At 51.6% G+C, this 27,169-nt stretch overlaps 1 protein-coding gene across 14 annotated transcripts in view, besides 6 other annotated features; it reads left to right on the forward strand.

Annotated features, from left to right (window-relative positions):
• TBC1D22A (TBC1 domain family member 22A) overlaps window positions 1-27,169 on the forward strand; it is a 413,050-nt gene that overhangs the window by 247,519 nt on the left and 138,362 nt on the right. For 9 of the 14 annotated variants that reach the window (NR_104292.1, NM_001284304.2, XM_017028742.3 and 6 more), the window contains 1 exon segment: window positions 26,903-27,030. The exons of 3 other annotated variants lie outside the window; for them this stretch is intronic. Coding sequence is in view for 8 of the 11 variants with exons in the window: in NM_001284304.2 (NP_001271233.1) it covers window positions 26,903-27,030 (128 nt within the window). In the remaining 3 variants the exon portion in view is untranslated. 14 annotated transcript variants of the gene reach the window in all.
• Window positions 5,293-5,922: an enhancer, noted in NCBI's record as "H3K27ac-H3K4me1 hESC enhancer chr22:47411357-47411986 (GRCh37/hg19 assembly coordinates)". NCBI's record gives its function as "activates a minimal SCP1, AML or CMV promoter by ChIP-STARR-seq in naive H9 embryonic stem cells {active_cell/tissue: H9 hESC(naive)}" and the evidence as "EXISTENCE:reporter gene assay evidence [ECO:0000049][PMID:30033119]".
• Window positions 5,923-6,550: an enhancer, noted in NCBI's record as "H3K27ac-H3K4me1 hESC enhancer chr22:47411987-47412614 (GRCh37/hg19 assembly coordinates)". NCBI's record gives its function as "activates a minimal SCP1, AML or CMV promoter by ChIP-STARR-seq in naive and primed H9 embryonic stem cells {active_cell/tissue: H9 hESC(naive and primed)}" and the evidence as "EXISTENCE:reporter gene assay evidence [ECO:0000049][PMID:30033119]".
• Window positions 18,013-18,779: an enhancer, noted in NCBI's record as "H3K4me1 hESC enhancer chr22:47424077-47424843 (GRCh37/hg19 assembly coordinates)". NCBI's record gives its function as "activates a minimal SCP1, AML or CMV promoter by ChIP-STARR-seq in naive H9 embryonic stem cells {active_cell/tissue: H9 hESC(naive)}" and the evidence as "EXISTENCE:reporter gene assay evidence [ECO:0000049][PMID:30033119]".
• Window positions 20,316-20,844: an enhancer, noted in NCBI's record as "H3K4me1 hESC enhancer chr22:47426380-47426908 (GRCh37/hg19 assembly coordinates)". NCBI's record gives its function as "activates a minimal SCP1, AML or CMV promoter by ChIP-STARR-seq in naive H9 embryonic stem cells {active_cell/tissue: H9 hESC(naive)}" and the evidence as "EXISTENCE:reporter gene assay evidence [ECO:0000049][PMID:30033119]".
• Window positions 20,845-21,372: an enhancer, noted in NCBI's record as "H3K4me1 hESC enhancer chr22:47426909-47427436 (GRCh37/hg19 assembly coordinates)". NCBI's record gives its function as "activates a minimal SCP1, AML or CMV promoter by ChIP-STARR-seq in naive H9 embryonic stem cells {active_cell/tissue: H9 hESC(naive)}" and the evidence as "EXISTENCE:reporter gene assay evidence [ECO:0000049][PMID:30033119]".
• Window positions 21,869-22,460: an enhancer, noted in NCBI's record as "H3K4me1 hESC enhancer chr22:47427933-47428524 (GRCh37/hg19 assembly coordinates)". NCBI's record gives its function as "activates a minimal SCP1, AML or CMV promoter by ChIP-STARR-seq in naive H9 embryonic stem cells {active_cell/tissue: H9 hESC(naive)}" and the evidence as "EXISTENCE:reporter gene assay evidence [ECO:0000049][PMID:30033119]".

Consider the following 27,169-nt stretch of genomic DNA (forward strand, 5'->3'; position numbering starts at 1 on the left):
ATTGACTTATTCTTTTAAGATAGAATTCAGTTACAGCTAGGAAACTAGATTCAGCTTTATTACCACCCTGGTGGAAATATTTTTATTACCCCTACAAAGTAAGCAGCCGAGAAGCAGAGGATAAATCAGCAGCGCAGCCAGGCCGGGGAACAGGCAGCGTGGCTCCCTCCCCCTGGCTCTCGTCCTCATTAGGCTCCAGAAGGGCAGAGCTGAGCGTTTGAAATGATAGTGATATTTCATCTGAGACGTAAGGACATGACAATTGGCAAGGCACATGCGTAATTGCTGTTATGTGCGACCTAAGGTGTGTGTGGACTTTCTGGGAGGCGTGCTGTGTGTGCTGGCAAGGGCTGCATTCCTGTGCTCCTGGTTTCCTGGTTCAGGCAGAGTCTTGGTCCCCTTCTGCTTAGCAGGTCTTCACAGTTGAACATGGCTGTTTATTCTGTGACCCAGGTGACTCTGCTTATCATTGTCTGTTGGAATCATTTTGGTGAACCTGTCTGCAGCCTGGGTTCCAGGCTACCCCAGGCAGGAATTTGCTCTCTTGTTGGATGGATGTCCTGAGTTTCTTAAGTCAAGCTGATTTAATGTGCTTTCCATTGAAACTCTAAATGGATATTTTGTTGCATTTTTGGGAAGAGGGATGCATATAGAACAACAACAACAACAACAAATCAAAGAAATAGAAGTTTCATGTAAACCCAAAAATAATATATTAGGAATATACACCTGGGTTCTAGTTCAGCCTCGGTCCCTGACTCTGGCCTTGGGCTGCTGCGGGGAATGATGATAATAGCAGCTAGCATTGATTCAGTGCCTGCAGTGTACTGGGCACTGTTCTCAGCTCTTTATCTGTATCATTGTGCTGACTTTTCATAACAGCCCCATCAACTGCATAAATGGGCCCCATCCCCGTACTCAGAGTCCTGCCTATCACTGATCTCAGCTTCCCCGCAGGCTGGATGATCTCCAGGTTGCTTCCAGCGCTGCCCATCCTGGGTTGGTGCACAGGAGAGAGCCCTCCCAGTTCCTCCCTACCTACTTGGGCAGCCTTGGGGTGTCCTGTGGGCTCAGGGGACTTGCCTGTCTCTGCTCCAGGGTTTCCTTGGGAGCCGCAGCCTGCAGCTGTGCCTGTGGTCGGGCCCTCTACCTCCACTCCCCGCGCTTCCTCCTGGGACTCCTGACCAGCATCTTGTGCCTTATGGTGCCCCGCCCACCTCATGACCCTGAGAACTGGGAGATTAGAAGGTCGAATGTGCCCTTTTGAAGTGAGGAGTGGTCGTTGCTTCTTTTTTGGCTTCGACCACATGCCTACATTTTCATCCCGATGTTCCCCATAACCAATGCCCAGTTTCTAGAGCGGCCTCAGCAAATGTTGGGGAACTAAGGGATAAAGTGTTTAATGGAGCAGCCTGCACGTTAGGGCTCCAGCAGCCTGTGTGGCTTCACATTGCTTCAACATAGCTCATGGGTGACACTCCCCTGCTTAAAGAGGATGTTTGGAGTGGGGATTTAAAGCAGTTTCTCTGTTGTTACTTTTGTCTCCAGATGTTTATGATTTTCTTTGGGTTTTCTTCTTAGCTTTTGTTTTCCCTGAGGATCTCAAATCCTCATCCTACTGCCCTTTAATTCATAGAATAGAAAATCTGCATGTGTGGAAAAGCTCTGTAATTTTACCAGTGCAGCCTATGCTGCTGCTACATCCCCTGTAAAAGTGACAGAATACAATGTTACGTATCTAGTATAAATGATGAGGATGCTTGCTGACTCCCTTGCTTACATCTGAGATTTGTCTTGCCTCAAAGTAAATCCTTTCCCACCCCGCTCTGCCTTGGTGGCCTTGTCCCCACCCCGCCCCCAGCTGATTCTGCACACCCTTCCCTGTACACTCACCTGTGGGCCCCTCGGGTTGACTGGCCTCTCCCAGCAATCGACCATCGTGCTGGGAGGAGAGGCTGTGTTTCCTCTTTGGAAGAGCCTTGATCTGGAGCGACAATCTTCACATTTATTTTCCACCACCCCAAAGTTGTTAAGGTGGTCAAAGGAGGTGATGCCTGCCAGGGTGCTTTGAAATGTTTGGTTCCGCTGTGAAAAGCTGGCAAAAGTCTGAACAGAAGATTCCATGAGTCAGAGGGTCCTGGGGCTCACATCCCCCCAGCCCTCCTGCCCCTGAGCCATTAAAACCCAGACTAGCCCAGCACTGGTGCGTTCTTCTCTGTCCCCGTCCTGAACCTGCCAGGCTTTCCCTGAGGTCCCCAGGCACCAGGGGATTATTGTCAGGCCCCTCACTGTCGTCCTGGGCCCTCGGAATCATGCCTCTGTGCCCAGAGTGGTGCTTTGGAAGAGGGGTATGGCCTTGTCACTGGGGTCCTTCATGGCCCTCACCTGTTTCTCTACTCTGTTTCTTTCTAAGCCCTGCTGCCTTCCCGGCTCTTCCTGCATTCCTTCCAATTTCAGCTCATTTTAAGGTATTCCTCCTGAACAAGTAGAGAGAGATTCATTTTCTTAAAACTGAGGGACAGCTTTCATCCCACTTTTGGACTGTGGCCTTCAGGTAGGACCACACTTCAGCCCCCTGCAGGACAAAAGGAGTAGCTTATTCTTTCAGAGCTCGTGCTGATGTGTAGTTGGCTCATGACCGCGGAGGACATTCTGCCCTACGTTAGAAGACGGGACATTAACAGTTGTTCCGAGAGCTCATCCTTCCAGGCCTGTACTTAGCACAGAATCATAAAAAACTTGCTGTTCGGAGCAGAGGGTCCTCTGAGATCCTCTGGCCACCCCCACCCAGTCTGTCGTATGGCTTTTGGAAAGCCATCGTGCTCCAGTTACAGCCGAGCTGGGGTGGACCGGGAGAGGGCTCCCTGCATCTGGCCCTCCAGCCTCCCGCCCCGTGCGCGAGTGGAGCTGGACATAGCACTTGCTGTGGAGCTGCTGGGCACTGCCTCTTCCACTGCATCTGTCCCAGTCGCTTCCTTCCCAGGATCTTTGAGGTGCTGGGAGTGGGAACAGCCAAATTGCGGTTAGCATTTTTCTTTTTAGCTGCTCAAGTGTGGAGTGTGTTTACCACCAGGAAGTGGTGGTGACCATGCTGTGTGTAATGAAATGCAAACACGTGAGGCCTCCCTGGCTCATGATCCAGCCACTTTTCTCCTTGTGATGATATCTTTGTGACTCTCCACACCGAGACTGATGTTTGGGGTTTATTGCTAAACTGAGAATAGTTAATTAAATTGTAAGTAGAGACATACAAATAAAGTGATTCTCCTTGACCTTAGCAAGAAAGAGCTGTCGTGGTTTCGAATATAGGCCGTCAGACTGGTTTTGAAGTGATTCCCAAAGTCGTTGCTGATCATGGTTACAAGTAGCTAGAGAGACTGTGTCTTTTCTCTTCTTCATTTTAAGGAACCAGTGTCCCTCTTAAAATCAGGCTAGGAGGCCGCATTGCAGGTGGAAACGCATTGCCTTTCCGGGCCAGGGCTTGCTGGGGATGAGGACAGTTTATTTTGATGGGGTCATTTTCCTTTCCACACCATAAGCCATTGGTCCTGAAATAAAAGGCATTGGTCCCAGCATTGGAGGGCACATCCCGTCTTTCTACTCCTCTCTACCCCCTCGTCTCTCTAGACCCTGGACTGTGAGTACCTTCTGGGTCAACCCTTCAGGGTAAGGGACATTCCCACTCTTCTCAGACCCACAGTCACCTAGGCCTCCCTCTGCAGTCAGAGGTCTGTGTCGCTGCACACGGCCAGTCCTCCCACTCTGCTGTGCCTGGATCTCCCCATCCAGAGACCCTCGGTTTGACCCTCTGCCGAGCGGAAGCTCTGGTGATCTGGGGGTGGGCGCTGGACCCAGGCAGTGGGGCGTGTGGGGATGTGCAGGGATGGCTGTGGGGTCTAGCTGCTGATTACAGACCACACTCCTGTGTCCCCGCCATGCCCCTCTTTGGGGATGCACAGTGCTGCCAGTCTCTGATGGGGGCTCATCAGGTGCATCCGGGCTACCCCTGGCTTTCTGCAGCGGTGGCCCGGGCTTTTGCTTTCTCAGGCCCCTGTGAGGACCACTCCTCCATCTGCTTCCCAGGTCCTCCCATCTGGCTTTCTCCCCTCCTTGTGTGCATTGAGTGTTGACTCTTCTGTGGTTTTTGTGAGGTGCTGGGACGGGGAGAGGTGAATACAGGTGTCCAGAGCCCTCTGATGACTCCCATAGCCGCAGGCCTCAGTCTGCGCTGCCCCAGACTAGACCCAGGGCCCCATCAGTCCCCGCTGGACATGCCGTGAGTGTGCTTTTGTATTGAGGTGGCTCCCGCTCGCAGCCATGTCAGGGCCCGGGGGTAGGGGCAGCTCCCTCCAGTGCTCAGCGCTCACTGCTCGTTAAGCCTACTGTCCCTATGCCCCACCAAGCAGCCCCATCCTTCACCTCACTTACTTCTCACGGCAGCTTGTTAGGTCCGAACTAACAGTATCTCCGCCTGACCAACAGGGATGCTGAGGCTGAGAGGGGACTCTTGTCCGAGTCACGCAGGTGAAACTTGGAGTCAGGATTGGAGCTTGGGTCTGTCGTCTCTGGACCTGTTGCCTGCTGCCCCTCAGCCAGGGCTCCAGCGCGGCCTGTGTGTGGGGTGGGTGTGGTGGGGGGGACTGCTCCAGTCTCTAGCTGTTGCCATGTGGGGGCCTCCCCCAGCCATATTCTGCCAGGGAGCCTCTTGATGTCCTTGGGACACGCCCAGCTACCAACAGAGCCTCCCTCTCCCTTCTGAGCTGCCTGGGTGACTGAGGGCCCCAAGGGGCTTATGTTCACTGGCCCTGTCCTCCCTGGCACCTGTGCACACACCTGCACAGAGCAGAAGGAATTTGGACCCATAGGTTCACCTCTTGTAACTCGTGTACATGGCCCAGGTGTTCCTGATGCCCCACCTGCGGGACAAACTGGACGCAGCAGGGTGTTTTGGGGGCACAGAGCCACCGTCGGAGTCACACATCGCACACACCCAGCAAGTGATAGTGTGTGACCGGACATGGTGCTGAAGGTGGCCTATGTCAGCCATGGGCTTGGTGATTTTGAGAGCCAGGATGCGGTTCCTGGCGCAGGTGCCTGGGGGCGCCTAGAGGAGTGCGAGACTCCCGAGGGTCCCTCTGCCTAAGCTGCCTGGGGAGGGCGGCTCGCTTTATTTAATTCACACGCTCAAAGCATTTCAGGAACAATGAATGCCTTCGGCCCTCTGTTTAAATGACTGAATTATAGAGGTGTGAGGGGGCCACGCCCACCCCGTTTTACACTTGGCGCCTCCCTTCTAATTTCGAGGAAACCTGCAATTCAGCTGGAATCTGTAATTTTCTACTTGATCTTGCTCTAGCTGTTCTCCCATCATAGCTCTGTGAGCACAGAGAGCTCCAGAAGGAATTGTTTCTTGTCTTGCGACCACACACATATAATTGTTCTGGTTGAACACGTTTTACTGTGCGGTGTCCATGCGGGCTGCTCCCGGACAGCAGCAGCCAGGAAGCCAGGGCCCAGCATCCAAGAGGCAGACCTGCAGGATGAGAGATCCAACATCCCTGGCCACCAGCCGCCTCGTGGTGGTCTCAGCCAGGAGGAGAAGGGAGCCTCCATCCTCGAAGCAGCCTGGCGTCTGGAGCATTTCGGGGTCTTGGCCTTACGCTGCCCTATGTAGCCTGGAGCCAGGCCAGCCGAGGAGCCTGGGCTTCTCCTCATGTCCATCTGTCTCTTCCTCTTTAATCCCTGGGGAATGCAGCCTCTGCTTATCTGCCACTCAGGCCCCTGCAGCCCCCTACCTGGTCTCCTTGGCGTCCACTGGCCCTCCACACTCCACGTGCCCCCCTGGGATGGCAGAGCCACTAAGGATGGAAGTAGGGGTTCCTGAAGAGTCAGCAGCATGCACTTCCCTGGTTCTGTCCCGGCACGCTTCCTGTGAGTCCAGCCCTCCAGTCATGCCAGGGTGCCTGGTTGTTAAGATTGTAGAAGCTTTTACAGTGGGCACTGGCGCCCTGAACTCCTGAGTGCACCCCCTTTGTTTCAGCCCTGGGAACTTTGGTGGGCAAAAGTTCCCAGGAAGCCCCTGTCACACTTGGTGACCTGTCAGGCAGCCTGGCAGGGTAGCCCAGACCCTGCTGTGGGTGCCATCATCCTGGCGGGCACGTGCTTGGTCTTCATCCCCCACCTCCCCGCTACATGAGTGGTTACCTACAGCTGGCTGGCCCTCCCCCAAGGAACCCTCATGTGGCCCAGGGAAGCTGCCTTCATGATACTCACTGTTAAGTGTTTTGAATACAGTCCTTGCCCCAGTCAGCTTGCTCAGGTGTCCCTGGAGAACGAGCCCCTCCATTGGCTCATCCTGAGGACTGGGCTGGGAAGGGCAGTATGTGCTTGTAGGACACCGAGCTCTTTGCCCGATAGTGTCAGTGGGAGGTTCCAGAACTCTGCCGTCCCGAAGCTCTTCCACTTAGGATCCAGGAGCCCACCAAGCTCCTGTCCTTTGTCCGCTGCACGAGTCCTTCCTGTGTCTGCCCTGCTGTCCTCTCAGGTGGAGCCGGTCTCACATTGCTGCGCTTCCAGTCACAGCCGTATTCGTTTCAGAAGCTGCTGCCGCGGATGTCATCGTGTCTCTGCCTGCCTGGGTGGCATGCGGAGGGGGCTACCGGCCTGCCTCCTGCAGAGCTGCTGCGTGGCTGTTGTGCTCCTCAGAGTCCTGGGCCAGGTTCTTGCCCTCTGGGGCCCGGCGAGCCTCCCACTGCTCTCAGGTTTGACGCACCTGTCCCAGTGTCCGCTGATGGTTTTGTCTGACGCGCTCAGGCCTGCGATGGTCGCCGATGGCGGCTTTTTCTAACTCTAGTTTTCCTCCATTTGTTAGTTGGTTTTCTGGCCGTGAGGAAAAGCTTTTCTTCTCCTGTTTATTGGGACTTGGGGATTCTCACTTTATTACCAGTTACAAGTCTTTCCTGTCATTAATGGTGTTGATGCTCTACATTTCCCAAGCTTGGTGCGGGAGACCTTTTAAGGATTTTTTCCATGGGAAGAAGGCAGTAATAGAGTTGCTCTAGAGTGGAAAATTGCATTTTGTATGAAAGTCACATGGGCGCATGGGAGGGCTAAGGAGACGGTCCATGCAGGGAGATAGGAGAAGACAGGAGGGCCACACATGACCAGGTAGTAAGCCCAAGGCTGCGGTCTCCGGGCTCAGGTGAGGGGTCGCCTTCTTCTCTGAGATGGGGTTGGGAGATGTGGGAGCTGCCCTCCCTGAGTGTTGGGGGAACCTGGAGCTGGGCGTTGGGCAGGCGCCATGATGGGGTTGGCGGCAGAATGCTGGCGAGGAGGTGGGCTCTGGGCACACCCAGCGGCTTCTGAGACACACATGCGCTCTGCCCTCCCTCGGATCCTGTGTGCCATGGGAATGCCAGGTGGGGAGGGAGTGAGGTGGGGACACTCAGGCTTTGTGTGACCCATCAGAAAACGGAGGAAATTGTGATTTGCTCCCAGTCTAAGGCGTTACGAGAAGTGAGAATTTTTCAGGGATCTGTGGTTACATTTCAGTGCTAGAAAAGTGAAAAGAACTCATTTCTGTCAGAATGGGGTAAGGGGCCTCTTAGTTCTTTGTATGTAATGGTGATGAATAAAACTTCCCTTGAAATTTATCCTTTGATAAAGGAATCTCATTTTTAAACACCTTCCATCTATTATTTAAAAGGTTTGGAGCTCAGTGCCCAAGTAACTTTGTCCTGCTCTCTTGGTAGCCGCGAACGTCCCTTTAATACGTTCCATTCCTGCATGCTGCCTGTGGACACCTCTGCAGTGGTGGGGCTGCTTATGGATATGGAGGTGGAGCAGAAGTAGTTTGTAATGGGCAGTCACATTCCCAGGAAGCTCTGGTGTGGACAGGTGCCCCAGAGATTGCTCAGGCACCTCGTTCTGGGCACTGAGGCCTGTGCCAGGCGTGGGGGCCCAGAGCGACCTGACTCTGGCCGTTCCTGCTTCCCCTGCGTCAGTGTGGCTGCTGGCACTTCTGTTCTTCCTATCCATGGAAGGGGCGCCCATGGAGGGGCGGAGTTTTCCCTGTGTTTCGTCTGCAGCGGAGTTTCTGCGTGTTCTGCTGGATGCGTGTGGATCTGTGCCGTTGGTCTGTTCTGGGCGCACATGCAAGCCCATCACGTCTCATTCTAGTTTTTGTCCTTGATTTGTTGTTTCAGTGACATCAGTCACTGCATGAAGAGTACAGGTGCCCCCATTTTAATGCAATCTGAGGAGACAGACATTGGCTAGACTGCTTTTAATTTAAGCCTCCTCTTCTCTGCCTGCCGTTCGGCTCGGCTGTCCTGCCTCTTGGAACCAGTCCGTCTGTCCGTCCCACTCTCTCCCCTGCTTGGGCTGACGACACACATTCATGTGAGTCAGTCACTGTTGGTGGCTGTTTAGTGAATGGCCACTTGGGCCACGTCGCTGAGCACCATGAGGCATTAAGAACATCAGGCTTAGGCTCTAAAGATGCGTGAGCTGGGACACTGGCTTGGTAGCACTCCCCCACCACCGTGTCTCCTGCTCACCGGTCGTCATCGCCATGAGGAGTGGGTCCTGGTGGTGGGCGGGGCCAAGGCTGCTGAAAATGGAGGCGACTGGGATCCTGGGTGGGACGAGTGGAAACACGGGATCCTCAGGGCCCTCGCCTGTCACTCACATTTTTCTGGAGGAATTCAGTATGTGGCATACTTAAGCAGTTCTCCTTTCCTTCCCCTCATCCTCCTCCTGTCTTAGCCAGACGTTCCTGTCAGCATAGCACTCACTGTGGGGTCCTGACAGCCCCCGTGCTCCTTGGAGTCAGTTACTCAGCAAGTCTTATCCAGCCCCTGTAGTGTTGGAGGCTCTGGTGCAGGAGACAGTGAGCAAGGCCAGCCACAGCCCCTCTTCACTCCCGCGCCTCCCAGCTGGCCTGGCGCCCACATCCAGCACAGGGAGGGAGCACGGAGCCTGCGTTTGTTCACTTTCCGAGTGGCCTCCCAGTGCGCTGGGTGGAGCGGGCAGCACCCCTCCACTGTCCAGCGGTCCCAGCACCTGCTCGTGCCTCCTACTCCCTCCCAGCCTGGTGGCTTCCGGATCAGGACATGAACACCCTCACACTTCAGCAAGCATCTGTGAAACGTCCACTGTGTGCTGGGACCTGAGTGGACAGTGATGAGCTAGACAAGGTCCTTCTTAGGGAACTCTTCTCTGATGAGATGGCAGATTGGGAGGACAGACGGGAGCCGTCACTGGCTGTAGTTTCTGTGACAGCGAGCGTGAAGGACTGAGTTGAAGAAGTGTCCAGAGAAAGCTGTGCAGAGGTTGGGACATCGGTGCTGAGTCTCGTATAGGTGTTTGGGGGCAGAGGAAGCAGTGTGGGTGTGCAGGGAGGGAGGATGGGGCAGCAGAATCAGCAGTGGGGGCTGTGGGCAGGCAGGGGTAGTGATATGGGGCATGTGGGATAGAGACGTTGTGGGCAGTGGTGTGAGCAGTCGGGGGTGTGCAGGGAAGGACGTGGTTTGGAAAGTGCTTTTCCCGGAAGGTATGCTAGGATGATCCATCCTACCCATCCATCCCTCACTGGCTGACCCATTTAACCCTCCATCCTTCCCCTCTGCCTTAACCCTCCATCCTTCGCTTCTCCCTTAACCCTCCATCCTCTCCTCTCTCTTAACTCTTCATCCTTCCCCTCTCCCTTAACCCTCCATCCTCTCCTCTCCCTTAACTCTCCATCCTCCCCTCTCCCTTAACCCTCCATCATGCCCTCTCCCTTAACCCTCCATCCTCCCCTCTCCCTTAGCCCTCCATCCTCCCCTCTCCCTTAACCCTCCATCCTTCCCCGCTGCCTTGATCCATCCCCCCACCCATGTCTCAGCCATCAGTCCATCCATCGATCCATCCATCCATTCATGGAAAACTTTTACTGGGTCTTGCTCTTTGGGCCTAGGGATGGAAAGGAATGGAAAGATTTCATGTCGTCATGAGCTTGCATTCTTATGGGAGGAACAGCCTTGCAAACCACCAAGGCCACTAATGTGCTGCCCCTGCCTCACACAACCTACAGGTCACCCAGTCAGCTGACCAGCAGCCGGTGGTGGGAGGCTCTGGGATCAGGGTCACAGCTCAGACTCTCAGTGGCAGGATTCTCAGCCATACAGTGCGTCGGGAGAGAGGGACTCTATCCGGGGAAGCTCTGCGTCTTCAACCTCGCTGTAGACTTGGGTTGCATCAGCAATTTCTTACTGCAGATGGGATGACTCGTTTATCTGAGTAATTTGTGCTGTTTTCACTGGGAGTTTCTTATTTCTCTGTTTCCTTCTCCATTTAAAACAAGGGTCCTGCCTGTTGGTGTGGCACTGTCTGTCAACCAGAGCTTTCTTGTTCCTCTCCTGATTCTCTGCCATGCCTGGGTTTCCAAGCTGGAGTTTGGGGGAATCCTGAGCCATCTCCTCCTTGCCTTGCTGCAAAGGAGAGTGCAGTGCAGTCGGTGGCTTTCCTTCTGCCAAGACAAATGCAGTGAATGAATGTGGTGGACAGGCCCTAGGTGACTGCCATGGGTCATCACCTGCCTTGGTGTCATCCCCTCTCCTGGAGTTCAGTTAGAGTCTGAACTTAATTCTAATCGATGGAACATGGGATTGTAGGATATCAATCCTGTAATTATATAATTACAGGATTATATAATAATCCTGTAATTATTATATAAGACTCCCCCTTAGCAAGCAGGAGCTAGAGATTTCCCTTTGCTTCTGAAGTAAGGGGCTGGCCAGAGAAGCCCACATGGCAGGGGCTTATAGGCAGCCTCCAGCCCACAGCTGGCTCAGTCCTGTAGCTGCCAAGGAGTGAATCCTGCCTGCAACCTGAATGAACCAGGACACAGGTTCTTCCCCAGTCAGGCCTCCTGATGAGGATGCAGGCCTGATGGCAGCTTTGTGAAGCCCTGAGCAGGGAACCTAGCAGAACTCCACCTGTAGCCTGGAGCCCTGAGCAGGGAACCTAGCAGAACTCCACCTGTAGCCTGGAGCCCTGAGCAGGGAACCTAGCAGAACCCTACCTGTAGCCTGGAGCCCTGAGCAGGGAACCTAGCAGAACCCCACCTGTAGCCTGGAGCCCTGAGCAGGGAACCTAGCAGAACCCCACCTGTAGCCTGGAGCCCTGAGCAGGGAACCTAGCAGAACTCCACCTGTATCCTGGAGCCCTGAGCAGGGAACCTAGCAGAACTCCACCTGTAGCCTGGAGCCCTGAGCAGGGAACCTAGCAGAACCTCACCTGTCGCCTGGAGCCCTGAGCAGGGAACCTAGCAGAACCTCACCTGTCACCTGTCACCTGAGCAGGGAACCTAGCAGAACCCCACCTGTCACCTGGAGTCCTGAGCAGGGAACCAGGCAGAACCTCACCTCGAGCCTGGAGCCCTGAGCAGGGAACCTAGCAGAACCTCACCTGTCGCCTGGAGCTCTGAGCAGGGACTCTAGCAGAACCCCACCTGTAGCCTGGGCCCATAGAGACTGTGACCCATACAGACTCATAAATATATGTTGTTTTAAGCTGCTAAGTTTATGGTAATTGGTTACAGAGCAACAGAAAACTAATAAAATGAACAAAGGACAAATAATCCCACAGAGTCCCTGTCTCCCTCCCGCCCCAGTGCTGGGGTTCAGGGCCTGCTCCTCTCACTTCAATGCAGCTCTGACGTTCCTGGGTCAGGAACTGCCACCCGCTTGCCACCCCGCCCACTGTTGGCAGGCACTGCTGGCTGTGGCAGTGTAGACAGGGCTGAGTGGCTTACAGTGAGGGTCTCAGAAGGGTCCCACCACCCCTTCCACTCCACAGGCTGGGCATTTTCCCTCAAATAGAGAAAAGAATACAATCAGGATTAATAAAAAATCACAGCCCCACAGTTCATTTACACTTGATCAGGGAAATGAGCACCAAATGTTGGACATTTTTCCTGTTTCCGGTCAACATTGATGTTAATGATCTCCAAACAAAGATGCTTTCAGGTTTGGTGACAGCCTGTACACCCAGTGCTCTAGTTCATGTTTTCAGGGAGCTGACTCACTCTGCTGCTTGAATCAACTGAAAGCTGGAAAAAAATATGTGAAACAATGGTTTTTAAGATACAGGACATAAGGCAGCCGGGCCATCCCTGGGAGGGAGGAAAAGTACAGGGTGAGCTCCATGATTGCATGAAAGCATTGCCTGGAGAGAGTCTCTGGAGCATGGTGTCAGGAGGCACCTGCAGGTCTCCCTGAGTTTAGACAGAACAGGGAGTCTGGGGAAGCCACGGCATCTGGGGGTTCTTAGGGCTGAGGCTGGGAGAGGAGAAAGCAACTCAGAACCAAAGTTCTGGTGACAGAGCGAGACTCTGTCTCAAAAAAAAAAACACCAAAACAAACAAACAAAAACACCAAAGCTCTGCACGGGTTCCTTTCAGGTATTAAGCTGAATACTGATCAATGCACGGATGTGAGGTTGGGGAAGAACCGCTTGAAATGATGACAGAGAACAAGCCTCAGAGCCCTTACAGGGTGGAAACTGTGTCTGTTCTCCAAAGCAAGAACGGAAAACTTTAGAAGTCCCCGGCATCAGGTAGGGGACTTAGAAGGGTTTTCCTTCAGTAGTGGTAGTATAGAAACCTGAACGAAATACTACTCTGGCCCCAAAGCTTAAAAACAGGATCCCACACAATTAATCTGTTCCCAAATGACTTAATTGCATCCCAGCAAAAATTCAAAGATATTTATAGGAATAAAAAAATATCAGGTTTCCAACAAGATAAAAGTGACAATATCTAGCTTTCAAAGGCATTGTCAGCCATGCACAGAAATGGAAAAGATCGCAGATAATGAGAACAAAAGTCAATCATAACTGACCCAGAAATGGTACAGATGTTAGACTCGTTAGTTAGGCAGAGTCATTAAAGCAGGTATTATAACTGTATTTCATATGTTAAAAATCTGGAGAAATAGATAAAGACATGGAAGTAGAGACATGGAAGTTATAAAAATGATCCACATTGAACTTACAGAGAGGAAAGACCATGTCTTAAATGAAAAGCATACTGTGTGGGATTATCAGCAGATTAGACTTTGTACAAGAAAAGATTCATGAACCTGCCAACACAGCAATAGAAACTATTCAAAATGAAAGAGAAAAAAATGAACAGAGTCAGTGAACTGTGGGACAATTTAAGTAGCTTTATATACCTGTAATCTGTGGTCCCCTAAAGGGAGGAAACAGAAAAAATATTGGAAGAAATAATACTCAGTTAAAAAAAATCATATGGAACCTATAAACCTGTAGAATTGAGAATGTGAATGAATGCCAACCGAGCAGAAAACATGAAGAAAACCAGAACAAGGCATGTCATAATCCAATTGCCCAAAACTACTAATATAAAGAAAACATCAGAAGCATCCAGAGGAGAAGAGACACCCTGCATTACAAAGGTAAGCATGACAACAGCAGTCTCATTGGAAGCATCAAGCCTGGAGACAAGGGAGCAGCCTGTTTGGACTATTCAAAGAACAGCAAACCAGAGAAACCTGTTAACCAGCAAAAGTATCTTTCAGAGATGGAGGTGAAATACGTGCTGTTTCAGACATATAAAAGCTAAAGGAATTCGACACCAGGAGACCGGGATACCTGCATGACAAGCAATAGGTAAACTTGCAGGTGGAAGGAATATGGTCCTAGATGACCGTGTGGACCTGCACAAAGATTGAGGAGTGCCCAAAGTGGCAAGTCTAGGAATGCATTGAAACACGTTTTCTTGTTATTGAAATATCTTCAAAAACAACCAAATGGTTAAAGCAGAAACAATAACAGTGTACTGTGGGTTTTCTAACACATGCCGCGGTGCGATGAAGATGACAGGAGCGTAGGCGTCGGCAGGGAGAGATGGAAGTACATCGTGGTAAGGCCCTCACGCTGTGCTGCCTGTGAAGCCGGGTAATCGTATCTGGAGGGAAACTGTGGTAAGGCAGGGACACATACCATCACCCTTACAGTCACCGCTAACATAACCAGACAGAGCTATGGCTAATAAGCTAACAGAGGAGATAAAGTAGATTATATAAAATACTCAATTAATATAAAAGAAGGCCAAAAAAAGGAAAAGTGGAACAAAGAACAGATGGGACAGTTGGGCCACACTAATAGTAGTATGGCAGGTTCTAACTCAGCCATATCAGTAGGTGTGTTCAATGCAAATGATCTAGACACTTTAATTAAAAGGCAGATCGTGTTAGATTGGATTAAAATCAACACCCAACTGTGTCCTTCACTCGAGGGTTCTTTGGGCTGAGGGTGGGAGAGGAGAAAGCAACTCCGAGAGAACCAAAGCTCTGCAGGGGTTCCTTTCAGGTACTAGGCTGAATATAGTTTCCATACTTTAGGGCATGGTTGCTCAAACCCATAGTCCCAGCACTTTGGGAGACTGACACAGGAGGATTACTTGGGCCTGGGAGTTTGGAACCAGCCTGGGCAACATGGTGAGACCCCGTCTCTTAAAAAAAAATTAGCTGGGCATAGTGTAGTGGCAGACGTGTGCCTGTGGGCCTAGCCACGCGGGAGGCTGAGTTGGGAGGATTGCTTGGGCCCAGGAAGTCAAGGCTGCAGTGAGCCATGATCACGCTGCAGCCTGGGTGACAGAGCAACACCCTGTCCCCTGTCTCAAAAGAAAAAAAAGAGAAAAGCCCACAAATATGAAGAAGCAAATAGTTTAAAAATAAAATGGTGGGAAAAGATATTTCATGCTAACACCAATCTAAAGAAAACGGTAATGTCTATATTAATGGCAAACAGTAGATTTCAGAATAGAGAATATTATCAAGTATCAAGAGGATCATTTCATATGATAGAGTGGGTCAGTTAATCAATTGGACATAATTTTAAGTGTTTATGCGTCCAATAAGACTGTATCAAAATACACAGCAAAATCAGATAAAAATGCAACAAGAAATGGACAGAGACACAGTCACTGAAGGAGATTTTGAGCTCCTCTCTTCAGGAAGTGTTAGAACAAGTAGAAAATCAGGTTATAAGAAGCTTGAAAACACTGTCAACAAACTTGACTTAATTGATTTTTATAGAAAATTCCAAGAGTGCACATTCTTTTTAATTTTGCACATGGAACATTTACCAAGATAGACCATATTTTGGGCCATTAAAAAAGTTTCAATAAATCTTAAGGGATTCAAGAAATATGAAGTATTTTTTGTTTTCTCTTAGCACAATGGAATTAAATTAGCAATCTTTAGCAAGATACCTGGGAAATCCTCAAATATTTCTAAATGAATTAACCCACTTTTAAGTAACCCATGTATCATAGAAGAAACAAAAGGGAAATGAGAAGGTATTTTGAAGTGAATGACAATAAAATCCAACACTTCAAAATTTGTGGGATGCAAAAGAGCAGTACTTAGAAACGTATAGTACTTCCCTTAGAGGGAAACCTATAGCACTAAGCAGTACTTAGAGGTCAACGTATAGTACTGAGTGTGTGAGAAGAGGCTGTATTTACAGGGAAACATATAGTACTGAGTGTGTGCGAAGAGGCTGTGCTTAGAGGGAAACGTATAGTATAGAGTGCGTGGCAATATGGCCATGCTTAGAGGGAATCATATAGTACTGAGTGTGTCAGACGAGGCTGTGCTAAGAGGGAATTGGATAGTACCGAGTGTGTGAGAAGAGGCTGTGCTTAGAGGGAAACGTATAGTGCTGAGTGTGTGAGAAGATGGCAGTGCTTAGAGGGAAACGTATAGTGTTGTAGAGAAGTGCAGACTGGTATCCATCATGAGCATAAATGTAAGGATCCTGAACAGATTTTAGTAAATCAAATCCAACAGTACACATCCCGATGATGTAGGGTTTATCCTAGAATGTGAGGTTGATTTTCAGTCAATGTAATTCTTATTATTAACATATTTAAAAAGAAGAACAAACCCATAAAAATCACATCTATATATGCAGAAAAATCATTTGACACAATCCAATATCCACTCTCAATGGAAACTCTCAGTAAACAAGAACAGAAAGGAACTTTTGAAGCTGGATAAAGAGCATGTTCGATGTTTAAACCCATAGCTGACATAATAGGAAAGGGAGGGTGTCAATGGAAAGCTTTCCCCCCAAATCGGAAACCTGGGACAGTGTTCCTTCTTTTCACTTCTGTCCGGTGTGTATACGGGAGATTCTGGTGGCAGAAAGACAAAAACGTACATTCATTTATTCGTACATACATAGAAATGTAAGTGGCATCTAGACCAAAAAGGAAGAAGTAAAACTCTCTGCTTTTGCAGACAACATGATCATCTTTTTTGAAAGTCTGATGGCATTTACAAAAAAGCTACTAGAAAGAACAAGAGTTTAGCAAGGGTTCAGGATACAGGATCTACATACAAAAATAAACTTTATTTTTGTATATTAACAGTGAGAAATGAGAAATTGAAATTGAATGAGCAATACAATTTATAATAGCATGAAAATGTGAAATATTTAGGGAAAACACTATGATAAAATATGTAATAGGCCTGTACACTGAAAACTACAAAACAATGCTGAGAGAAATGAAAGATGACCTAATCATGTTCAGAGATCAGAAGACTCAAGAGTATTAAATGTCAGCTCTCACCAAACTGATCATACATTCTACTCAATTGCAATCAAGATCCCACATGCTTTTCTATAGAAATTGACAAGCTGATTTTTAAATTCATATGGAAATACAAACTCCCTAGAATGGCTAAAACAACACAGAAAAAGATGAACAAAGTTGAAGGACTTTGTTCACTTTTTTCTTTTTTTGTGTGTTCACATTAGCTGATTTCAAGAATTATAAAGCTTCAGTAATCAAGACAGCATGTTGTTGCCATTGAGATAAGAAAAGAGATCAGTGGAATAGAAGAGAGTGCTGAGAAATGGAACCGTGCATATGTGCAATGATTTCCAAAAAGGTACAAAAGAAATTCAGTGGCAAAGCATATATTTGTTATGCGTATAATCGTTACATATGTTGAGCAAATGAAGAAGTTCCAATTGAAAATTCACATCAGAGGAAGGAGTTTGAATTCATATTTTGTGCCATGTTAAAAAGTTACCTCAAAATGAATCAGAGACCTATGTTTTGTTTTTTAAATTTATTTTTATTTATTTAACTTTTTATTTCTATAGGTTTTTGGGGAACAGGTGGTATTTGGTGACATGAGTAAGTTCTTTAGTGGTGATTGGTGAGATTTTGGTGTACCCATCTCCCGAGCAGTATATACTGAACCCATTTCGGGGTCCTTTATCCTTCACCCCCTTCCCACCCTTTTCCCCTGAGTCCCCAAAGTCCACTGTGTCATTCTTATGCCTTTGAATCCTCATGGCTTAGCCTGGTTGGGGTGGGAGACTAGTCTTCTAAGTGAAGTTAACTCAGAGACCTATGTTTGAAACCTAAAATTATAAAACTTCTGCAAGGAAACACAGAGCGTCTTTGTGTGACCTTAAGCTAGGCAAGCAAGATTTCTTGGAATAATGGCCAAACCCTCACACATTAAAGAAAATTTGGACAAATAAATCGGACCTTACCAAAATTAGAATCTGTTTTTCAGATGATACTATTAATATAATAAAAAGACAAGCTAAAGACTGGGCGAGCCTTCCAGAAGTGCGGGCTGCGACAGAGCCTAGGGCCAGGCCTGCCTTCTGGACTCTCCCTGTCTTGTCCAGCCCACTCCTCCCCCCTGGGCAGCTTTGAACTGCGGGTTCCCTGGCCGTGGAGCACAGTCAGGGCCCCTGGAGCTTCAGGCACCCAGGGAAGCGGCTCCGTCATCTGCATTTTTAAAGGAAGTAAATCAGATTTGTTGTTGCCTTCTCATATGGAAATGACCCTGTTTTGGAGGGGTGTGCTGAGTAGCTCGTGTGCACGTCTGTGAGGTGAAAATGATTTAATACCTTGTTGCTTCAGTGCCATGTAGCTCTAGAAGAAGTTGTATTTTAGATTATGTTACTGTCAAAAAAATAGACCTCAATACCTCTCTAGAGATGAAAAGATTGCGTGCTGTGGCGTCAGATAAACACCATTTCTTTACAACCTGCCAGGAGGATTTATTTCATTCTGCACTCATGTTTACTGAGATTCTGAGAGTGAGTGGTCGCGTTCCTGTCCCTCGGTCCCTGTCCCCCACGGCCCAGGTTCTGAGAGTGAGTGGTCGCATTCCTGTCCCTCGGTCCCTGTCCCCCACGGCCCAGGTTCTGAGAGCGAGTGGTCGCATTCCTGTCCCTCGGTCCCTGTCCCCCACGGCCCAGGTTCTGAGAGCGAGTGGTCGCATTCCTGTCCCTCGGTCCCTGTCCCCCACGGCCCAGGTTCTGAGAGTGAGTGGTCGCGTTCCTGTCCCTCGGTCCCTGTCCCCCACGGCCCAGGAATGAATCTGGTATGACCTCTTCTGTCTCGCCTGCCTGTGCATACTTAGCTGTGTCTTGGGTCTGACCTGTCTTCAGCCCCATCCTTGTGTTGAGCATGTGAGAAGACAGCAGTTGTGTGACACGACGTTGACATTAAATGAACGGTGGAGAAGTTATCTTGAGGGAATGTGTTTGCAGTTTGGCCTCTGCCTTGCAGTCTGGTTGGATCTCAGCCCTCAGGACCATTTAATGGTGGTGGGAGCATTCTGTTTGTCCCCAAATGTGGGACACCACCGCACGATCCTGACACTAACATCCCAGAGTTGGTGTCAGACTCTATGAGCTAAGGGCTCAGTCCTTAACAAGAGCACCCTCACTTCAGACTCCAGCTGCACCTCAGTGGTCCCCAGGCCACCTGCACCTCTGCCCAGCTGGCTGTAAATTCAGTGGTGTCCATGACTTCAGGTTTGATTATTCATTAGAATGGCTCATGGGACTCAAGAAAGCCAGTGATTATGATTCCAGTTTTATGTACAGGTTAGGGGGACCAGCCAAATGTGGAGAATCATGGGACGAAATCTGCAAGAGTCCCGGGGATGCAAAGCTTCCATACCCCTCCCCATGGGGCCCGGGGACACAGCGCTTCCATACCCCTTCCCATGGGCCCAGGGACACAGCGCTTCCATACCCCTTCCCATGGGGCCCAGGGACACAGCGCTTCCATACCCCTTCCCGTGGGGCCCGGGAACACAGCGCTTCCATACCCCTCCCAATGGGGCCAGGGTGCTAACTCTCCTGCCATAGCCATGTGTTCGCCAACAAGAAAGCCCCTCAGAGCTTGGTGACCGGGGTTTCTATTGAGGTTCATTGCATAGGCCAGATGACTGAACGGGGGCCGCCTGATGGAGCTCAGTGCCCAACCTCCCTCCTCTTCCCTCCCTTCCCTTCACCCAGGCTCACCTGACTCTACAACCTGAGGCCTTAATGTGCTCTCTGGTGTCCAGCCCAGACTCGGCTGCTGCCCGAAGGAGAAGACCTGCCGGCAGCCTCGATCTTGGCCAAGGCTCCTGGCTGCCGCTTCTGGGGCGGGGATGGCAGGAGCCCTGCCTGTTTGCCTGCAGGGATTTGCCAGCGAGTGTCCTGTGCCGGGAAAGTGGAGCTGTGGGTCCATGATTCTGCTGCTCTTCCTTGAGCCCCATCTCTCTCTCCTGTTCCCTTCCAGCTCAGGCGCGCTGTCCCATCGGAGGCCTTGGTGAGCGGCCACAGTGCTCTGTCTTGAGCTGTCAGCCCCAGACTGCTTCCCCCAGAGTGGCCTGGGCCGGGGCTGCTGCTCGTCCTGGGTCTCAACCCTTCCCACCCTCTGCCCACCATTGGCAGTGAGCGGTTCTTGGTGTTCTGGCTGGTGAGCGTGACTGGACCCTGCTTGTTGGGGACCTGGCTTTTCTAGCTGTCAGCGACATAAACCAAACCATGCAAATGAGAAAGGAGGTGGGCTCAGAGTGGGGGGCCTCTTGGTGCGGAGGGGCCCTGCTCACTGTCAGTGGCTCTTGCTTTTGTTCTTTTTATCTTTTTAACTGATTAGAGAATTGAAATCTTCCCCCAGAATCAAAGCCTATTCATGGCTGTCCCAGCCAAAGCGTGATGTATTTGTGTCTGTTCTCGGCTTTGTGCGGGGGGTTGAAAGGTTTTCTTTGTCAGGTGTCTAAGTGTGAGCCATTATGCTGCTCTTCGGGTGATAAATCTGAGTGTCTGGTCCTGCATAAACAGTGTGTGTTTTATGCCAAGTCAATGGGATACGTGTTTTTTCCATTTTAGCCTAAATCCTGGGACACAATGTGCTTGCATAATTTATTTTTATTTTTAATCAAGAAGACAAGATGTTTCAGCAGAATTTTCGGTCTGTGGATCTGCTGTTTAAAGTGCTGGGAAAAGTGTTCAACAAATATTGTGGTTGTTTCTCCAGCTTGCCAATATGACACATCTCTTCCTGGTGACTTTACAACAATAACGTTGCCTTGCCCTGCCACATAAGGGCTTTATGAAAAAACCTTTTCAGCCTGAAATATGACAATAATTACACCTGCCTGCTCATTCATTGTATGTATACTCTTATTTCCAGTGAAATGGAAATTTCAAATTCAGAATTATTGCCAACCAAATTACCTTTATCAGTGAAAGAGCATCTGCTCGCAATTACTTATAAAATAAGAAAAATGAATCCTTTCGGCATGTACATTTGCAGCTTTGATGTGTATAAATGGGAAGTAATGCCTGGAGTTTAGCAGCCCATCCTTCACCGTGCCCAGACGGGAGGAGGCTTTCCCGCTGGGGATGCACGTCCCGGCGGGGTGAGGCCCTGGCTGGCCACGCCCGCACCCTTCATGACGTGCTGCCAGAGAAGCCACGGAGTCGTGCTAAGTGACCACTTCCGTGTGAAGAAGGACACTCCCCGGTGCCTTCTGGATGGATGTCCCATGGGCTCCAGAATCAAGCCAGCTTAGCCAGGCTGTGTTGGGTGACTCAGCGGAGCGCTTGCCATGGAGTCCCTTGCTGTGGCCACCATGGTCTCGTGCTGTGCCTGCCATCACCTCTGGGTGGGCGTGGGTTTTGCCTTTTCACTCCTTTCAGGAGTTCAAGGTCCTGTGTCAGGCAGAAGGCCAGGCACTCAGGACACAGAGAGCTTGTAATTCGGGTGCAGTGCACAGCTTGGAGCCCGAAGGCTGGATTGCCTTGTCTGTTTCCTACAGGCTGCTGAGCCCCCGGCGGGCAGAAACAGGCCTTGTCTTCCTTGTAGCTTTGCTTTCAGAGGCAACCCTGGGAAGTGGAGGCCCTGGTCAATCTTTCCTTAAGGAACCAATGAAAGAGGAGCCTCTTGCCCTGGAACGGCCTTGCCTGTGCCTGTGAGGTTAACGCTGTGTCCGGTTTTCTGGTTAGTTCCTTGTGACCGGGTGCTCTTGCAGATGTACTGGGCTTTGCCCTGAGGAGGGTGGGTGGCTCTGCCCAGGGCGCAGGTGCCCAGAGATGCAAGGGTGGGTCCATGCTCAGCTCTGGTGGTGTGGGGTCGTTTCAAGGGGACAGAGTGGTGGCAATCCTCAGGCCCATCTTGGCTCGCCTGCCTCCTTGTGTGCACCTTTGGACAGGTCCCCTCACCTGCCTCACCTCACAGGTGAGGGGCCGGGGTCCCCAGGGTGTGAGGTGTGTGCCCCCCTTCAGGAGCTGTGCAGTGGGAGTTCGGTGCAGGTTAGCCGGCCATTGCACTCTGGCTGGAACGGGCTCCTTCTCCTCAAGTCAGCGTCCCTCAGGGAGGGGCTGAGGGCTTGGTGGCCTCTGTGCTTTCCACCCCTGAGTCCCTGCAAGTGGGGCAGGAAGGGTTAATTTGTACTCTGTTTAGTTACCACAATGACAGGTGTTCCAGAAATATGTGTTTAAATTTTCAAGTCTGTTTCTTGCCAGTTTGTGTTGGAAAGATGTCACCTGCTTCCCAGGCCCGTGGTAGAGTTGTCTGTTTTCCCAGGTGGGGACATGCCGAGCCCCGGCACAGGTGGGCTGCTGCTGCTCTAGGCAGGTGACAGACTGGCCGGTGAGCCACGGCTCCTCTTCTGCGTGTGACTCTGTGGTGTGCACCTTCCCCAGCAGTCACCTCATCCTCATCCATGGCAGCGGCTGCCCTGGGTGCCAGGCTGCCTGGTTAACAAATGTGTGCCCCGCACACATCACATGTGTGGTGGGCCATGGCCTGCCTTGGTGCTGGTCTCTGTTTCCGGACAAAGTCCCTGCCCTCGAGGAAGTCACAGTCTAGAGGATAAGACCCTCTGGCAAGTCCCACCCACACCAGGTCCCCCAGACTGGGTCCAGGGCCTGGCCCTGTGAGTGCTTGGTTGAGAGGCCTCATCATACACTGGATTTGTGCCTGGAGTGAGAGGAGAGAGGGAGTGGCCGCGAACACACACCCAAAGGGAAGAACACCCAGGCTCTGTAGCCCTGTCTAAAGCTCGCCTGAAGCCTCCTGTGTAAAATGTGGGCACAGCACTCGTGTCCTGGTGATTAGCCTGTGACTGTCCCACTGCTGCCTTGGTACACTGGGGCCCTGCCCTGGCAGCATTGGAGAACCTTCAGAGCAGCGGCCAGACAGGGATGTGCAGTGTGGCCGTGTGTCCCAGGAGGCCCCAGGCTGCTGACTTCAGCTTATCTCCACGGCAGAGCTTCATTCACGCCAGTGCAAGGCGGCACCCACTTGCTGCAGCCCAGACGTCCACGCAGAGCTGTGGGCTGGGAGTGGCCAGTGAAACCAGGTGCCACCTGCCAGGCCAGGCACCTGCCCTGGAACGTTCCTTTCACACTGCCGTCCCAGGCTGCCCTGTGTGGCCCCTCCTTCCTCAGGCGCTTTGTTTCAAGCAGTGATTTTCCTCTGGGGCTGTCGCTGTCGTCCTGGCTGCTCTTCCCCAAGTAGCCAACTGCTCCTTCATGGAAGCTCATTCTTTTTTCTGTGCAAAAGAGCCTTGTTGAGTAAATGGAGTCATTTTCTAAACAGCTGGTTTTAAGTGTTCAGACTTGAATTCCACGTGTCAGTGCGCTGGGGGCAGCAGAGTCTGGTAGCAGCTTGGGTGGACTTCCACCCTCCGAGGGGCATGGGCAGAGGTCAGGCCTGGATGGTGGAGCCCCCTCAGGGCTTCGTAGAACTTTCTATCAGTTTAGTTTTGTAGCTGCAGATTAACTTCAGGTTAGAAATGATTCTGTAAGTTCTTTGAAAAGAACGTCATGTTCTAGGGTGTGGCTGGAAAACTCCTCGCTATTGCTGTGTTGAGAAATAGAAGTAGAGGAGGACGGCCAGGCTGGGAATGTGTCCATCTTCCGGTTACCTGTTTGCTCTCTGTACTCATTCGTTCATCACAGTCACCTGACAGACACTCATGGATGCTCAGTTGTGTGTACTGGGGGCCGGGGAAACAAAGGCGACACAGACCTGGACCCACACCTGACCAGCTCACACCCCAGGGTGGGCAGGCACCCTGAGCACTTATGCCCCTTTCGTGATAAATGCTTCCATAGAGGTGTGTATAGAACGAAGAAGAGGGGGAGGCTCACAGCTTGGGGTGTTTCTGGAAGCATCCAGGAGTTTTGACGTCTGGGTAGCCTCGCACTGAGCAGAGACAGGTGCCCTGGTGGAAGGCTGCCATGAGGGTGAGCCCGGGGCGCGGGGAAGCCTGCGTGGTAGCATGGGTGTTGTTGGTCACCTGGTGCCACCGCAGGAGGCATGGCATTGCAGGGGAAGGCAGCGGTGAAGGCCGAGGAGGGAGTGGGGGTCTGGTGCCTTTCTTAGGCACTCTGACTTCATTCTGGGGGCCAGTGTCTCTTCATCTGTGGGGATCCTGAGACACCTCCTGGCACCCCCTTTGGTCTCTCTGTCCCCCGAGGGATGAGCAGCCGTGGGATTAAATTCTGCGGGGGCTTCAGCCTCAGGGGCCCCTCGGCAGCACCGTTTTGTTCTCTCCACTTGCCGCGCTGCCCTTTACTTATTAGAGACTATGGGAACCATTTTTTGGTAGTGAAATTAGTTTTATTTTAAAAATAAATGTCTTTAATAAAGCGGCAGTGGATTAGAAGGAAGCTGTTAAGTGAGCAACACGCTGGCGCTGCCTCTGGACCTGCACTGCAGCCCTCCCCTCCCTCAGTGTGGAGCTCTTGGAGTGGGTGTCCTGCGTGAGCCACTGGGACCTGTCCTTCCTGTCTCTGTGAGCCTGTGTGGTGCCGCGTCCTTGTGTGACCTGCCCTCTGAGGCGTTCCCAGTGCAGAGATGTCACTGGCACGTCAGCATCTTCTCTAGAGTCTCTGACATCCCACCTGGAAGAGTCTGACTGAGAGTCGAGATGAGAATCTGTATTTAACAGCTCCTGTGCTCCCGTGGTGATGATGAAGAGGAGGGGGAGGAGGAAGATGAAGACACGATGATGTCCAGCCCTGTTTGGGAATCCCTGAGGTCACTGCCAAGCCCACTGCACCCTGGCATCAGGCCTTCCTTGCCCTGCAAGCGGGCCCCTGCGTTCCCTGTGCCCCGGCTGTCTCTGGGCCTGGCTCCTCAAACGTTTCTAGCCCAACACCTTTCAGAAGTGCTCCAAGGCAGGGGAGGCAATCCCTGGCCTATGTGCCGGGGACTTTGGACGACGGAGCTCGAACAGGCCCAGTGCAAAGATGAAATTGCATTGAAATCGCAGTTTTATCCTAACAACTGATGACGATAATTGACTTTATGGCATATTATGCATTGGTTTTGGTTTTAATACACAAATAACATTTTCAGTCGCTCAGAATAAACTGTCCTTGCTGCTCGCGTGTGACGCTCTTTGCTTGCAGCCGACTCTGGCACTGATGCGTCAGGCTCCCTGAGTCCTGAGGCACCAGCGTTCCCAGCCACTCGTCCACCCAAATGTTCCACCTCTGAAGCTCTCCTGGGGGCAGGGGAGACAGGTGGGCTTGCTAATGAAGAAGTGTGGGCATCTGTGGCCGTGTGTGTAGTCTGCGCCAGACCTCTTCATAAAGCAAAAAGCCAACCAACCCCCTGCTGTAGCAACTGAGTATCTGAGGTGAGCAGATGCCATCTGGAGGAGCTGCCCTGCAGGCTGCTCTGCTGCCAGGGACCCCCACCCCCGCCTGCCTCCGGGGCCTGCCTGGCCTGCTTGTACCTGCTCTCTCTGCAGGCCTGGAGCCCTTAGTGCTCAAGTTTGTTACCGCAGAGGCAGCGCACAGTGGTGGGGGTGTGGGTGCCTCTGGGTCCAGGCAGCCTCCTGGAGGGCAGTCCTGTGGGTCGTGGGCAAGGCTGTCCAGCCTCCCTGGTGACTTCCTCCCAGGCTGGCCCCTGGGGCTCAGAACAGCCTTTGCTGTTCTGCTCCACCCAGTTCTGCAGTTTCCACAATTAATTATTCACTGTCGTGTTGGAATGGAGCGTGTATTGCTGCATCTACCCCACAGTGTGAAGCAGGCCTCATCCTGCAGGCATCCCCTGACACCCAGCCCTACAGGAGCCCCGCCCCAGCACGTTTGCCCTGGTCAGCTGAGGACAGCAGTGGTTTAGGGGAGGAGGGTGACAGTGAGGGCAGAGACAGTGAAGGGACCAGCTCCCGCCACAGCAGGGTCCCATCATGGGACCAGAGCTGCCCATGCTTTTCCAGGGCCAGCTTAGTGGAGCCTGCTTGGAAACCAGCCCCTGTCCTTAGGTGAGGGCAGCTCCCGGTCCCACGGCCCTGAAGTCCAGGCCGGCACCCGCATGTCTTAGTAGAGCTCCTGGTCCGTCAGGTGGACGGCATTGCAGGATGGACCCTCCTGTTCCTCTTCCCCCTGCTTCTCGCTTGTTGCTGAAATATTGCAAGTTACCAGGGACTTGAGTAAAACAAACCAGTAAACAGAACACTAGCTTTTCTCTGGTATTTGTTTATTTGCCATTTCTAGAACTTTCTTTGAGGGAATGGCGATCCCTGTGAAGTGTTTCGGGGTCACTTCTCAGGGCAAGCCAGGATTAGGTAAGCGTGGAGAGAAGGGAGGTGTAACTTGGAAGCAGGGTAAGGAAGTGAGCTGCAGAAAGAAGGCTCTCAGCAGCCCTCAGGTGCACCTGCGTTTTAAAAACCAAGGATCCACTATCCGGCTCAATTGGGCAATAATTAGTAATGATTATTTGTTTTTATAAAGCAGCACCCATTCTTCTAGGCCCTTTAGAGTAGGACCTCATGGGCAGAATGTTGGAAAGAGGAGCATAGGCACCATGATCACTGGGATTTTGCCTCCAGGAGTGACACCGCCAGGACTCAGCAGGGGGTGAGGCAGGGAGCACGGGGTCTGAGCTGAGGCTGCAAAGCTGCCGCCCACCACAGCTTGATGAGAGGGGAGCGCATGTGGCTGGTGTGAGCGTGTGCTTCTGGGAGTGATGCTTGGTAAAGCCTGGCTCTTTCCAGAGGCCCAGCTGTGTCAGGGGTGTCCCCATCCTGCAGTCGAGGGGTGTCCTTCACCTGGCCTGCAGGCCTTGTGTCCCACTTGCGCACTCAACGGTTGGGTCCAGGCATAGGTGGAGCATTTCCCTGGACAAGATTGGGCCCCTCCTGAGGAGCTGGCAAGCTCATCTCCTCTCTCTAAGCCCCTCCTGGGACACCAGCCTGGGTCTGTGGAGCTTCTGTGGAGCGGGGAAAGAGCGCCTATCTGTGGAGCCCCACGGTGTGGGTGTCGACTCAAGCCCCCCCATCTTCCTGGGTGTTAGGGCGTGAAGCACCCGAACATGTCCATGATTATAATCATCACTTCAGCAGCACCACCATCTTTCGCTTTCCTGTAGGAAGGGAGAGCTGTAGTCTCTCATTAATAGAATCAGTTCTTTGCTCCTTGGGGGTTGTTGCTTGGGATTCCCTGTTGGAGTGGGGTTCTGAGGCGGGCGCAGGCCCTTGGGGGACAAGTGACCTGGCTGCCAGTGCCTCCATAGGGCTCCCCTGACAGCCTTGGGGCCTGTGTTTGTTTTGTGCAGAGCAAGTGCACCGGCACCTGGACCAACACGAAGTGAGATACCTGCAGTTTGCCTTCCGCTGGATGAACAACCTGCTGATGAGGGAGGTGCCCCTGCGTTGTACCATCCGCCTGTGGGACACCTACCAGGTGAGCTCTCCTTCGCACCCTCCGCCATGGGGGTGCCAGGAGCCCGGGCCGTTTCCTGTCGCCTTCTGCCCTGGGCCTGTGTGCTGCATTCGATTTTTTCTTCCAAGCGCTCTCTCCATTGAAATGCGGTCTTTAAAAA

The sequence above is a fragment of the Homo sapiens genome, chromosome 22 (genome assembly GCF_000001405.40).
Source record: "Homo sapiens chromosome 22, GRCh38.p14 Primary Assembly".
Lineage (NCBI taxonomy): Eukaryota > Metazoa > Chordata > Mammalia > Primates > Hominidae > Homo > Homo sapiens.